This window comes from Homo sapiens, chromosome 10, assembly GCF_000001405.40.
Source record: "Homo sapiens chromosome 10, GRCh38.p14 Primary Assembly".
NCBI lineage: Eukaryota > Metazoa > Chordata > Mammalia > Primates > Hominidae > Homo > Homo sapiens.
The window spans coordinates 298868-314461 of NC_000010.11; the positions used below are offsets into that span (position 1 = coordinate 298868).

General features: G+C 46.6%; 1 protein-coding gene across 9 annotated transcripts in view, besides 2 other annotated features; it reads right to left on the reverse strand.

Annotated features, from left to right (window-relative positions):
* The window catches only part of DIP2C (disco interacting protein 2 homolog C), a 415468-nt gene that overhangs the window by 24667 nt on the left and 375207 nt on the right, over positions 1–15594 (reverse strand). For 5 of the 9 annotated variants that reach the window (NM_014974.3, XM_005252426.4, XM_011519431.3 and 2 more), the window contains one exon: positions 11164–11225. In NM_014974.3, coding sequence (NP_055789.1) covers positions 11164–11225 — 62 coding nt within the window. Of the gene's footprint in view, positions 1–11163; positions 11226–12669; positions 12700–15594 lie in introns of all 9 variants that reach the window. The other 4 variants (XM_005252427.5, XM_005252428.5, XM_011519432.3 and 1 more) reach the window with 1 other exon arrangement.
* Positions 8280–8329: an enhancer, noted in NCBI's record as "active region_2892". NCBI's record gives its function as "activates an Ori minimal core promoter by ATAC-STARR-seq in GM12878 lymphoblastoid cells {active_cell/tissue: GM12878}" and the evidence as "EXISTENCE:reporter gene assay evidence [ECO:0000049][PMID:35858748]".
* Positions 9556–10505: an enhancer, noted in NCBI's record as "H3K27ac-H3K4me1 hESC enhancer chr10:354363-355312 (GRCh37/hg19 assembly coordinates)". NCBI's record gives its function as "activates a minimal SCP1, AML or CMV promoter by ChIP-STARR-seq in naive H9 embryonic stem cells {active_cell/tissue: H9 hESC(naive)}" and the evidence as "EXISTENCE:reporter gene assay evidence [ECO:0000049][PMID:30033119]".

A 15594-nucleotide genomic window follows, 5' to 3' on the forward strand; every position in this document is an offset into this window, starting at 1 on the left:
ATGGTCCAACTTGGTTTCCGTCACTTTCCACCATGAAGTGTGACTAATGTGGATCAACTTTCCCTTTTTGAGTAAGACTAGAAAGACTTGAAAAATAATTATAGATTTGATATGTTTATGAGCATGTGTAAAAATTTTTTCAAATTAATTTCAAAATGATAGTAAGCTTGCAAGAATGAAAACAGTATAAAGAACACTTCTAACACCCAGGTTCACTGCTTGTTAATATTATGTTCCATCTGCTTTATACTTTGCACTGCCCACCCCATCTTACACAATGTGCACACACAGTTTTTTCTGAACCATTTGAGGATAAGTTAAATACATCAAGGTAAGTGTGGATTTCCTGAGAATAGGAATACTATCTTACAGAACAGTTATCAGTTTCAGTAATTTTAATATTGATCCAATATTTAATCTATAGCCTCTCTTCCAATTCTTCCCATTACTCCAGTAATGTCCCTACAGCTCCGCCTTGAGTGCAGGGCTCACCCTAGCATCAGGCTTAATATTTTGTTGTCATTTCTTTGGCTTGCCTTAATTGGGAAGATTTCCAAAGTCTTTTTTATCTTCATGACGTTGACATTTTTGAAGAATAGTGTCCCTGCCTTTAAAAAATATTTAAAATTATTTAATTCAAAGTGGATCAATGACATAAATGTAAGAGATAAAACTGTAGACTGTTAAAGGAACAGTCATGTGTTGGATATGTCATTTATTTCTTGGCTACCACACCAAAAGTATATGCAGAAAACAAAGAGGATAAACTGGACATCAAAATTAAAAGCTTCTGTTCATCAAAGGACACAATGAACAGAATCAGCGGAGTGAAAACGCAACCCAGGAAATGAAAGCAAGATTTGCAAATCACATATCTGTTAAGGGGCTAATATCCAGAATGTGTAAGGGACTCTTACAATTCAATAGCCAAAAAAAACTAAATGCAAACCAAACAAAGAAACCACTCCAGCTAAAAAGTGTGGAAAAACTTGAATAGTCATTTCTCTAAAGAAGGTATACAAATAGCCAGTGAGCAAGAGAAGATGTTCGACAAGACCATCACTAGGAAAACGCACACCAAAGCCACAACGAGATACCATCTCACACCCATTAGGATAACTACTCTCAAAAAAATAGAAAACACCTACTGTTGGTGAGCACACGGAGAAACCAGACCCACGTGCACTGCTGGCGGGAAGGTAAAACAATGCAGCGGCTGTGGAAAACAGTATGGCAGTTCCTCCAGAAATATAAATAGAACTAATGTATGGTTCAGCAATTCCACTTCTGAGTATATACCCAGAAGAACTGAAACCAGGTCTTGAACAGTATCTATAAACCCATGTTCACAGCAGCCCAAAGGTGGAAGCAACCCAAGTGAACATCGGCAGACAATGGATGAGCCAAGTGTGGTATATACGTACAAGGAAATATTATTCAATCTTAAAAAGGAAGATTTTGACACAATGCTACAACATCGATCAACCTTGAGGACATTATGCTAGGTAACATCAGCCAGTCACGAAAAGACAAATACCACAGGACTCAACTTACATGAGGTACCTACCTAGAGTAGTCAAATTCATAGACAAAGTAGAATGGTGGGTACCAGGGGCCGAGAAAAGAGGGATGGAGAGTAGAGATTTAATGAGGACAATATTAAGTGCGTGGAGAAACCAGAACCAGGAGCAGCCCTGCGTGTGTGGAGAAACCGGAAACCAGGCACGGCCCTGAGCGTGTGGAGAAGCCGGAACCCAGGCGCGGCCCTGAGCGTGTGGAGAAGCCGGAACCCAGGCGCGGCCCTGAGCGTGTGGAGAAGCCGGAACCCAGGCGCGGCCCTGAGCGTGTGGAGAAGCCGGAACCCAGGCGCGGCCCTGAGCGTGTGGAGAAGCCGGAACCCAGGGGCGGCCCTGAGCGTGTGGAGAAGCCGGAACCCAGGGGCGGCCCTGAGCGTGTGGAGAAACCGGATCCAGGGGCGGCCCTGAGCGTGTGGAGAAACCGGAACTCGCTCTAAGCAGCCGGGCAACTCCTTCTCCACAGAAAGGACTTGAAAAGTATCTTTTTATTAAATCATAAAAGACATCTTTTATTAAACAGAAAAATAAGCTTTTCTGTTTATTTCAACAAAAGAACTATCAGTGTGTAGTCCCTAAAGCCAAAGAGAAGAGCAAGTTTCCAGCAGGAGGGTAGGCTCAGCAGCATCCACTGGCACTGAGCGTGGAACATTAGGGTGGGGTCGTAGGTGGCCTTGCCGGGTGCCACCAGGGAACCGTGGAGACATGGGGCTTTGTCTCTCATGAGCCAGCAGGAGATGAACCCAGACCCTCTGAGGTGTTCAGCTGTCAGGAGAGAGGGCCGTGGGGTGGCCGCGGGTGAAAAGGGTCAAAGGAGGGTTTTTGTTTTTAGACAGCATTTATCACGTCATGTTTACATGCAGAGAAACGACTTCAGAGACAAGGAAACGCTGGTGATGTCAGAGGGAGGGGATGCTGGTCAGCCCAAGGGCCTTAAGCAGACGGTAGATGGTTGGGGTCTGGGGAAGGTGGAGGGGGTCAGGAGAAAAGGCAGCTGCAGCGGGTCACAGTGGGTGGGAACTGCTCATTCGCTGCTTGTCTCATTTAGGAGATAAACTGAGGCCCTAAAAGGTTTAACGTTACACTGACACGGCAAAGTGAAAGAAGAAATTAGAGAATGGGATGTAAAGACTAAAAATATTAATGAGTTTAAACATGGACACAGTCTCTCTGGGATATGGATGGTAATTCTAAAAAAGGAGAGACAAAAATATGGCAACAAGCCTGCCTCTTCCATCTCCTGAAAACACACCTTGGAGGGGCAGGACCCGGGAGCCCGCCTCTGGTAACCGCGTCCTCGCCCGCTTGCAGGGTGGCCACAGTGCTCCATGACTGCTCTCCTTTCACACACACACCTGGCCAGGGGATGTCTGGAGAGTCGGGAGGCAAGAGAAGTGGGAGCAGTGCAAACCAGACACCAGGAGGACGGCAAAGCCTCGCAGGAGATTGTGTCCAAATACCACAAGTGACATGGTGTGAAAGTGAATTCTTTTATTTTTCATTCGGTTTTCCCACTGGTTTTCAAGTAGACTGCAAGTTTTCAAGTAGACTGCAAGTTCTATTTAAGGAATTGTGAAAGCCCTACTGTCCCTTACCCGATGATCATCTCAAGTTGGGTTCATGCCTGAAGACAGCCAGAGCAGAAATAAAGGAAAAACTATAAACTAATAAGAAAAAAGGCATTTGCATGACTACATACACATAATTGTATATCCATGTAAAGGTATAACTGTATCAGATAATTGTACTGAGACTTACAGCTGGCCAGCATTGTCCCAAGCACCTGACGCATACCAAGAATCCTCCTAATGACTCTAGGAGTGGCACTGCTTTTGCCATTTCACAGGCAGAGAAAGTAAAATACAAGAAGGCAACGTGTGCAGGATCACATGGCCAGAAAGTGATAGATCTGAGGCCAGACAATGGGTCCTGAGCTTAATCCAAGCACCTGTTAAATTCATTGCAGCCAAACCACCCTGAGGCTCAGCTCTGGTACCCAAGGGACGGGGGAGTGAGGGTGAGGCTCCTGGGTACACTGCTGGGACAGTCACCTGAGGATCATATGAAACACTGAGAAGCTGGAGGTAAAAAGTACAGTCATGTACTTAACGACAAGGCAACATCCTGAGAAATGAGCTGTCAGTCCATTGTGTCATCACGCAAACACCACAGAGTGGACCTACACACACTGGGATGGGGTAGCCTCCTACGCTCCTATGCTGTATGGTACGGCCAAGTGCTCCCGGGCTGCACACCTGGACAACATGTGACTACATACAATTGTAATACAACAATATTTGTGTATCTAAACATAGAAAAGGCACAGTAAAACATGCTGTGAAAAGATAAAAAATGGTGCACCCATATAGGGAACTTACCCATAAACAGAGCTTGTAGGACGGGAAGCTGCTCTGGGTGAGTGGTAAGTTCACACAAAGGGCTACAACATCACTGCACGTGGCTGTAGACTCTGTAAACACTGTACTTGTAAGCTAAGACATCACCTCACACGGCTGTAGATTCGTAAACACCATACTCGTGAGGTCAGACATCGCATGTGTCTGTAGGTTCGTAAACACCGTACTTGTGAGCTAAGACAACACTGCACGCGACTGTAGATTTGTAAACACCGTACTTGTAAGCTAAGACATCACCGCACGCGGCTGTAGACTTCATAAACACTGTACTCGTGAGCCAAGACATCACCACACGTGGCGGTAGATTCTTAAACACTGTACTCGTAAGCTAAGACATCATCCACGTGCGGCTGTAGACTTTGTAAAAACTACTCGCGAGCTAAGACATCACTGCATGAGGCTGTAGATTGATCAACACTGCACTTGTGAGCTAAGTCATCACCGCACGTGGCTGTAGATTCATAAACACTGTACTCGTAAGCTACACTAAATCTATAAGAAAATTCCCTTGTTAAATAAATTAACCTACATTTACTGTAACTTTCTATGTTGTAAATTCCTTAAAGCTTTTTGACTCACTTATAAAAACAGATTAAAACATATTGTACAGCTGTACAAAAATAATTTATCTTTATATCAAGTTTTCTATTAAAAGTTTTTTACTTTTTTTTTTTCTTTTTTTGAGACAGAGTTTTGCTCTTGTTGACCAGACTGGAGTGCAGTGGCGCGATCTTGGCTCACCACAACCTCTGCTTCCCAGGTTCAAGCGATTCTCCTGCCTCAGCCTCCCTAGTAGCTGGGATTACAGGCATGCGCCACCACGCCCGGCTGATTTTGTATTTTTAGTAGAGACGGGGTTCCTCCATGTTGGTCAGGCTGGTCTCGAACTCCCGACCTCAGGTGATCTGCCCGCCTCAGCCTCCCAAAGTGCTGGGATTATAGGCATGAGCCGCCGCGCCTGGCCGAAAGTTTTTTACTTTTTAAACTTTTTTTTTTGTTATAAACTAATACACAGACACACATTAATCTGGGCCTCCACGGGGTCAGGATCACTGAAATCACTGGCTTCCACCTCCACATCTTGTCCAACTGGAGGGTCTTTAGGGCAATGACATGCACAGAGCCGTCATCTTCTGTGGGAACCATGCTTTCTGCTGGATTCCTCCTGAAGGACCTGCTGAGGCTGTCTTACAGTTAACTTTTTTATTGTTAAGTATAGAGAATATGCTCTAAGATAACGACATTAAAGGTAAGTACATAAACCGGCTTCACAGGTGTCTATTATCACAGTCCAGTATTATGCACGTACTGTGTATGATCCTACATGCTATACGTTTATACAACTGGCAGCAGAGGTTTATACTAGCATTGCCACAAACACATAACGCATTGCATTATGATGGCCACAACATCAATAAACTCCATTTCACAGGAATTTTTCAGCTTCATTACAGTCTTACGGAACCACTCTCATTTAGGGGACACTGTCTTGGGGACCACTGTGGTCTGTCATTGACAGAAACAGCACTATGCAGCACATGACTAATTCAGCAAAGGGACACGAGCTCCACAGACAGCCCAGCTCTCAGTCTGCTAAGACCACAGGCCATGATGAAGGGACTAAAGACCAGCTGGAGAACTCTGGCCCCCTCCCAGCAAATCCTTCTCATGTACACATGTATGTATGCACACGAATGCACACACACACACACACACTTCCACATATATGCATGTGTGTATACTTGTAACAACTCCACATACAAAATACAAGGCAATACTAAGACTCAGTGTGCATGTGCACATGCAACACACACACAATACTCACATAGCCCACACACTAGCACAAACTCATCTGCATGCACACACGTACACATGTAACATACTTACACACACATAAAACAGTACACTACACTCACACATGCAAACTCACACTTGCACACACATGCACATGGGAGTGCACTTGCATTCTTGCAAACCCTCATATACTTGTACCACATACAGGCACCCACCCATGCAACACACACATGCACACTCATACTTGCATGTACTCGTGTGCACAAATATCTGCTACATATTTGTATGCACACACACGACACGTGCAAAGCCATAAATGTGTACACATTTGAAAGTCACACAACTGCAACATACTTGCAACACACTCATGACACATATATGCACGTGTCTATACTTGCAGCACACACTACACTCATGCACATGCATGTGCAGTTGAAACACATGCAGTATTGCACACACGTACACTTGTAACACACAACAGCATATATACACAACACACTTGCACAAACTCATACTCTCATGCATATATGCACTTATACTTGTACCCACATCACACTCACCCATGCAACACATGACACAGGCAAGCTCGCACATGTACAAACTCATATTCACATGTGCAGACACTATTCACACACTTGCAAAACACACATGCATGTATGCACAGCACACTCACACATGCACTGAGACACACACACAAGGACCTGATCGGGTGAAAGGCTCCTGTTAAGCTGTTTGTCTTTGTCTCTATCTTCACTCCCTCCATTCTGCTGCTAAGTCTCAAGTTTACTGATGTACTTCTATTCTGTGGCCCCTGCTCTCAGGATCTTGATACTTGGGCTAACCAATGAGTAGGAATTAATTTAGTATCTATGCTTTTCTGGTAATACCCTTTAGTTATGACTTCAGGTTACAAGCCCGGAGGAAGCTAAGAAAGTTTTCATTCTAGGACTTTACACCAATGTAATGTTCTTAAGATGTAAAAAATTGCTAAAACTGTTCCTTTTTCTTTTGAGACAAGGTCTTGCTCCATTGCCCAGGCTGGAGTGCAGCGGTGTGATCATGGCTTACTGTAGCCTCTAACTCTCAGGATCAAGCAGTCCTCCCACCTCAGCTTTTTAAGTAGCTAGGACTATAGGCACATGCCACCACACCTAGTTCATTTTTAAAAAATGTTGTAGAGATGGAGTCTCGCTATGTTGCCCAGGCTGCCCTCAAACCTCTTGGGCTCCAGTGATTCTCCTGCCTTGGCCTCCCAAAGCACTGGGATTACCGGTGTGAGCCCATTCCCAGCCTTAAAACCGCATCTTCAAATGCAGACAAATATATATATATATATATATATTATATTTTTTTCCTATCTAAAGTCTGAAAAACTCAAGTATTCATGGAAAGACCAAATTGGAAGTCATTGAGAGACTTATGATTTCATTTTAAATGAATTACACTGTAACAAATATTTTAAAATTGAACAGTCACTTGCAAATAGTCTCAACACAATTTCATCATTTCCTTCCTGCACATGTGGGACTGTAATCTGTTCCAGAAGCAGGGAGAGTGTGTCCCCTCACTCTATGATGCAGAAATGCTCTCCATGGTGACCTGTCACAGATGCAGGCAGGTCCCACCCACCATGGCTCCAAGAATAAAAAGGGCATCAGAAACAGGGGCAGAAAACCAAGCAGAAATGGCTAATACCCCTGTTCGACAACTGACTTTCACAATGGTGGTCTTCCTCTGTAGGCCGTCTTTCTTGTGCGTGTGCACATTCATATTCTCTCTCAAGGAAATTGCATGTGCATACCAATAAGCTAACCTTCTCCAGAGTAATTAGACGATAATTGGGCAGGTGCCTTGGAGCTCGCAAGTGAGTGTGCCATTAAAGCAACAGGAACAGTAATTAATCCTGTGACAGAGCCTAATGCAGATCAAGTGAGAAAACCACCATCCCATTTTTATAGGAAGAGTAACAAGAAAGAAATAAGATCAGTGCTTTTAGTGGCTCTCATTTCACTGCCTCCCGACTGCTGGCCTTGGACTGTCGACTTTCTCACCCTCTGTGGTCAGCAGCCCTGGGCCGGTGGATCAGAAGAGGTGAGTCCTCTGTCACCATCCAGCTGCCGGAGCTCATAGTGACAGCATCTGCCCCAGTCTGGCTCTTCACAGCATTCCTTTACTTTGTCCTCACAGGTGCCTGGGAAGACTGGCTTTACTGCACCTGTTCTGAGCACCCCCAGAGCTCCTGCTGAAATGTGATTCCCAGGGTTGGAGGTGGGGCCTAATGGAGAAGTCGGAGTCATGCAGGCAGATCCGTCATGATAGATGCAGGCCTTCCCTGGGGGTGAGCAGGTTCTTGCTCTACCAGCTCCCGGGAGAGCCGGTGGCTAAAAACAGTCTGTCCCCTCCTCCCACCACGTGATCTCTGCACTTGTGGCCCCTCTTTCCCTCCACCATGAGTGAAGCTCCCTGAAGCCTGACCAGAGGCAGATGCAGGCACCACACTTCCTGTACAGCCTGCAGAACTGTGTGCCAAATACACTTCTTTTCTTTATAAATCACCAGCCTCAGGTGTTCCTTTACAGAAATGGAAACAGACTAAGGCAAGAGGGAAACTGAGGTTACAGAGTGTAATACCTCGTCCCAGAGGAGCTGACTTCTGACCTGTGTGACCCAGAGCCCCCTGCCAGTGGCTGCAGCACCAGGCATATTACATGCTGGTAAAGGTTGAAAGTGATGCTGGAGATTAAAGCTGGATGACATTTTTACCTAGGAATATTTAAGGGAGGTTTAAGGAAGGAGAGGGCTTTGGGGCTGGCTTGGAGGACTGGAGAAAAGGCCCCTGGGGCCACACTCCTTGGAGGTGGGCTGGGGGCTGCGGACTGTGAGTGGGTGGTGAGGGCATCGGAGAGCAAGACTGGGACGCCGCTGAGATTCTCTGCAGTGGGGGGGTAAGGGAGAAGGGGCCCAGCCAGACGGAGGGGACCACAGACAGACCTGGTTAGAAAGGTCAAAGAGAGAACATCGCGGAGAAAAAAACAGAAAGGAATGAGAAGAGTGAGAGCAGCCCCAGAAGCCGGGAGGGAAGGGCAGCGTGGTGTCCCACCCGAGGGCACGGGAGAAAGAGCGGCACACGGTCCATCTGGAGGGCAGCAGGGAGGGTTCAGGGGTGCCTGGGCGGGGCCCGGCACACAGTCCATCTGGAGGGCAGCAGGGAGGGTTCAGGGGTGCCTGGGCGGGGCCCGGCACACGGTCCCTCTGGAGGGCAGCAGGGAGGCTTTGGGGGTGCCTGGGCGGGGCCCGGCACACGGTCCATCTGGAGGGCAGCAGGGAGGCTTTGGGGGTGCCTGGGCGGGGCCCAGCACATGGTCCATCTGGAGGGCAGCAGGGAGGGTTCAGGGGTGCCTGGGCGGGGCCCAGCACACGGTCCATCTGGAGGGCAGCAGGGAGGCTTTGGGGGTGCCTGGGCGGGGCCCGGTGAAAGGAAGTCACTTTACAGCCAGACTTTGCTTTCCTTCTTTGTATGTAAAATGCCAGGTCTGAGTCTCATGAAGATGTCTGGCATCCGAGGAGCTCCCCTCGGCACTGCTCAAGGGTGAGAGCCTAGGCCAGCTAGCAGCGACGGTCAGCGGCGTGGGTGCCGACCAGAGGCATGCAGTGGTGTGTGGGAAAGTGAACTGCACCGCCAGCTCCTGTTCCTATGTACTCTCACTTCCATTTCAGATGCTTTCCAAAGCAGCTAGCAGCCTAGTCAGGGAAAAGGTTACGCTTTGAGGGCCAGGCCACAGACAGAACTGCATACATGTGTTATTGATGAGCTACTGCTCACTCCTTCAGGAAGTTATATAATTATGAGTTATTTTCCAAAGAATTCTTATGGGGAGTCAGGTGAATTTGTTTTAATGCCCAGAAGTGATTATTTAGAAAACTGTATGCCCAGAAACAAGTTACCTAATCTAAAACTACATTTCTGATTTTTCTAAGTGTTCCAGACTGAACTTTGTCCCTGGCAGCTGGTGGCCTTGGGGGCAGGCGTTGCCTCTGGCCCTCAGCCTGCAGGGCCTCCTGAGGGCTCCTACGTGGCCACCACTCTTCTGTGATTTTATAACTGTGCAGCCAGTGGTTCTGTCGACCAGAGGGCCTGATGGAAGAGCCACAGGGCCAGGCATGCATCTACGAGTGTGAACCGTCAGGGCGGGCGTGGCTCCTGGCCCTGGCGTGTGAGCTCTCAGCCACTGGCCGTCCCATGCAGGCTGTTGGGACACCCCTGGTCTCCCCCCACCAGATGCCAGCTGAGCCACTGCCCAACTTGTGCTGATCGAAAATGCCTCCAGGCATGTCAGACATCCCTGGGGGCACAGGCACACACAGCAACAGGTCACGGAGCGGCTGCTGACGGCGATAAGGGAAGGCACCATGTCCCACGCACTTCACCTAAGCAACAATGAACGGGCACCTCTACAGTCACCAAGTGGAAGATGATCTGTTTCAACGGGGGAAGTCTGCAGTAAAAATGACGCCTTCTTTCCTTCCTCTCTGGCATCTTAGTGGGTCCTCCTTGGCGGGCAGAGATTCCTCTAAAGGGCTTCTCATCCTGCTCAACCCCATGCCTGCTTTCTGGAGTCCTCACACTCTCACCAAGAACTCCACTTTTCTTCTCAGGGGGCGCTTAGGAGGCCACATAGAGAAGGTAACCTGACCCCTAACCCCTATTTCAAGCATCTTGACAAAACATTTCCATTCATGTAAAGAAATGTGGGCAGGATGCTGACATTCTACGACGGGGGCAAAATGGTGCATAAAATAGGAAGGAAAAGAACCGAGTGCCTGCCTTCCAGTGAGATGGTCAGATAAAGCAGCTCTGGCCATACTCCTGCTATCACACCTGCCACTGCTGTCCTGCAACAGAGTTTCTTTTTTTTTTTTTTTTGAGACGGGATCTCACTCTGTCACCCAGGCTGGAATGCAGAGGTGCAATCTCAGCTCACTGTAACCTCTGCCTCCCAGTTTCAAGCAATTCTCCTGACTCAGCCTCCCAAAGAGCTGGGATGACAAGTGCCCGCCACCAAACCTGGGTAATTTTTAGTGGAGACGGGGCTTTACCATGTTGCCCAGGCTGGTCTCGAACTCCTGACCTCAGGTGATCCGCCTACCTCAGCCTCCCAAATACCTGGGATTACAGGCGTGAGCCACCATGCCTGGCCAGAGTTTTCAATTGCAAAGTTCAAGCCAATGCCTAACTCCACCACTTCACTCATGAGACAGTTACACTCTGGGCAGATAAACATCGTGTGCACCTCTTCTTCTAGATGGAGACCTGCATGCAAGGCCGCAGAACAAAACAAAAAAAGGAAAAAAAGAAAAAACCCAGAAGTGTACAGTACCTGTCGTGTCTCAGGGCTCTCATGTCCACGTAGACAGTGGTTGGGTCAGGTCCTGAGGTTCCCTGCAAGCAACAACAGAGTGGTTAACTCAAGTTTACATGGAGGGAGATTGGGGTCTGTGCTTCTACTAGTTAGGAAACATTTCTTTTGTAAAATCTTAAAGTGAAAAATAAAACTAAAAACACTTAGACCAGCAACCTCTCAAGGCACCTGCTAACTTTCAGTGTGATAACCTAAATTCCAGAAGGAATATCTTATTAGGATAATACTGGATTCACACAGCTTGACCGCCAATATATAAAAATAGGAAAGAAAGGAGACAAAGCCACGCACTGTGCCAAAAAAAGGAAGGCTGAAAACTGCCAAGACGGCGCTGCAAAAGCAGGTTGGAAGGATATGAAGCATCTGTGCGGAGAAATTTTTACCACATGCATCCACCTTTAACAAAAGGTGTATTTTGAGGGCCCAGGACAGTGAAGCAGATGTGTGATATGGATGGACAGGCCAGGGAGGAAGAGGTGAGGGGAGCATCTTGCTCCTCCGGGCTCTGCTGGGGCTCTGGCTCTCTGGCCTGAGGAGGGCATTTCCGGCCAAGACACAGGTCAGGGAAGGGGCATTTTATCCTGGAGAGCTGGGCAGGACTTTGTGGTCTGAGCCATTCCACTGGGCTGTTGATTTTACACAGGGGTCCAGAAATCTTTTCTTGGCACCATAAATTGCTTGAAAAATTACACCATGCTGACTTCTGACCAGTGACCTCTGTACACAGAAGAGCAGCATCACGAAGGCTGCATTACAAACCAAAATTGTACACTCATTTTTGGGGAAGGCAGTACAATACCTTGGTTGGAAAAAGACTAAACCTACAATAAATTTGCCAAAAAATAAGGGAGCCCTTCAGAATTCATTTGAAGAATTACACTAAAATTCTTCAGGAGAGAATTCCAATTTTTGTACTAAAGGCACAAAATTTTCTTATATTGCTTATATATAAGAAAAAAAAAAGACAATGTCATGAAAACATACCATAGTACTCAATAACCCTGGGCCCTGGTATCTCACCACTGAGACAGGGAAAAAGAACAGCACATGCGAGTCAGCCTCCCGGCGGACGCTCCCAGTGACAGCTCTACCCCCGGCTGCTCAGCAAAGCCGCCCCACAGACCAGCGCTGAGCAGAGAACCGGCCCACAGTGAGTAATGCAAAATACAGCCATGGAGGGTCAATTAAAAATAAGTAAATGGAAAACAGGTGAAGAATTAAGTACAACAGAGATGAACCAAACTGGCAAATGAACCACTGACCGCGCACCCCGGGAAGACAGCGTCGGCTACGCGTGAGGCCTGAACGTGACATTGCCCGGCCGGCAGCACCCATGATCACAGGGCCTGCAGACCCCCGGCCAATCTCTGCACTCAACTGCTAGTCTGTCCCACGGCTGGATGCGGGCAAGGCAGCGGGGCTGGGCAGGGAGGCACGGGTGTGATGGACAGGAAAGTCCCCTACCTGCTCGGCCAGGGTCCACAGCCTGTGAGGCTACAGCAGCAGAAGGGTGAGGACGAGAAGAGAGGAGAGAACACCAGACAACAGAAACCAACACACACAACACACACAGACACATACGACCCGACAGTGAAAAATGGGATGGAGAAGAGGGAGGGGTGGGGAGGAGAATGCGAAAAGCAGGAAACAAAATGAAAAGAAGATCAAAAACAACATCAAATATGGAAATCATTAAAATTAACCACTGTACAAGGCTAAAAGAAATGTTTTAAAGATGTCAACATATCCACGGAGCAACAGAAGAGGGTGTAGCAGGTGACTAACCACGGCGCAGGGACACAGAAGGTAAATGGTGGCACTGCACCGTGTCACTCACGGTGCTCTTTCTTTCTGAGGGACGCGGGAGTGCAAGTTTCATTTGCTAAATCTGTTGAGGTAGTTCCAAGGTTCTGATTCCAGGAACAAAGGAGAGCCTGTGAGCTTTTACACCTGCAAGTAGGGCACTAGCTCTATCCACCTACACAATGAGGCAAAGGGAGAGGCCAACATGCATCTGAAGCCTGAAAGAATCCAGCGCTGGGCTCTCACACGGTCTGCTCGGCAGCCTCAGGAGGAGTTTCCACCCCAGCAAATGTGCTCTGTTGCTGTTCCCCAAACAGAGACACCAACTTCTGTTTTCTTCTCCTCCTCGTCATCCATGGCTGTGGTCCCTGCCTGCTACCCGCATTAAATAATCTACCCCAGCTGCTGGACAATTCCAGAAATCAACTTGGGCAAGCTCCTTGGATGCAAGGTATTTTTCCCTATGTCACTTAGCTGTCTTTCCCAAATATTCCCAAAAAGTACAAAGAGTAGAAGATTTTTCACAGGCGCCTGGACTGATGCACACCTGTGCTTTGTGTGTACGGCCCGGCACCCACCCACAACCCCATGACGGCAACAGGCAGACACTAGAGACAGCAGCTGCAGCAGTGGAAACGGAGTTAAGTGGTTTTCTTCAGGCTCAAATTTGGTCACAAAGCCCAATGGAAAAACTGCCACCACTCACAACAGAGCCAAGTCTATGAAAATAAGCAATGGTTCAAGATTTTAAAAGAAAATCACGATTCCACTCTTCTCTGTTACTTCTCTAGGGTAATTATGGCTACTCTTCTCTCTCAGCACCCTTATGTTTGAAAAAGAGAGGCAGAGCATGAATAAATAAAGTAACTCGCCAATAAAGGTGTGTATGCTCCAAACACATAGTGGACCTTTACTGAATATATTTGAGCTGAATGCAATGATTTAAATAATTTCTTTCCTTCATGATTCCTTGAAACCTAAATATTAACTGGAACAAAAATAAAAATAAGTCAACATTCTCTCTAAATTATCCTAGTTCAGAAATTGTTATAATGGGTCAAGGTGGTATCTCAGGAAAAAATGTACACGGCTAAGTACCTCATTTCCTATCTTGTACCACGTGGAGGAGGCAACACAGCACCTGAAGCCAAGTAGGCCTAAGCATTAATAGAGAAGAATACATGAAGGAGATAAAGAGGTAAGATATAGCTGCTTCCAAATTATAAAACCCCTGAGGTAAAAAGTCTGAAATTTCAAGATACATATTGAGGGAGTATTTAACAAAATCTTCATATTGCCAAAGAATGCTAGCCAGTGTTCCCTTAAATACGGAGATCCCTAATGCAAAAGAGTGCCCCTCAGTATTTAAGGATCAAATACTTGCAATAAAGGACCCACAGACAAACAGCATTAACCCATTCCAACTAAAGCTCATTCAGAAACAAAGATAAAGCATTTTTGAAATTCCAAGTTATATGAACGAGAAAAAAGGATTCACATTAAAATCCAGTTATATAATAAAAATGTTAAGCAGTCAGCCTTCCATATCTGTGAGTTTCGCATGTTTAGATTTAACCAACCTTGAATCCCAAATATTCGAAAAAACTGCACCTGAACAGGCACAGACTTGTTGTCATAATTCTCTGAATGATACAGTACAACTATTTACACAGCATTTACATCGTATTCGGCATCACAAGTCATTAGAGATGATTTAAAGTACACGGAGGATGTGCATGGGTTCTATGCAAATGCTGCGCCATTTTCCAGCAGGGACCTGAGCATCTGCAGACTTAGGTATCCACAGGGAGTCTGGAAACCTGTCCCCCATTGAGGGACAAATGTATATACCAAAAAATAACTTTCTTACTGACACAGAAGTATTATATCAATTAGGTATTAAGTGCTTATTGAACAAATGAGTTATATTTAAATCTCAGGTGAAGATATACAGACTCACACCCCAAATATCAGCACAGAAAACACAAAACAGCACTAATTTTAGCATTTAAGCTGACTGGTGATTTTACTATTCAGCAATTCACACACCATAATATTAGCACAACCTGGTACTTGCACATAGGGCTATAGTAAATAGAAATGTGTGAAAGAACGAACAAACTCCAAAGACCTGATACTGGGCTTATGTAGTACACTAGGTAAGTCTGAGAAGACGAGAAAAGGTTTGGGTTGTATGTCTCCAGGCAAATGACACTCTTCAAATGGAAAGGAAAATGACACAAAATTTGACTACTTCTTTGTACTCCTATTTCCAGAAGAATTTTTATATTTGCATTAAAATCTGGGGGCTGTGGAAATGTTACCGGCTTAGAGAAGCCTTAATGATGTACTCCCAGTGATCTTTTCAAAACCAGTAGCTAAATATGACAGGTCCCTGCCTTAAGCCCTGTAACAATTTCCCACTGATCTTGGGAAAAGGACCAGTGCTTGGTGCAGCCCTCCGTCGTCCTCCCTTTCTAGCCACCCTGGCCTCTTCCCATCTTTCCTGACCCCTCTGAAGTTGCAGGGGCTTCAGCTCAGCTTCCAGAGTGCTCTTCCCTCCCCGGTCTCGTCACCGCTAACTCA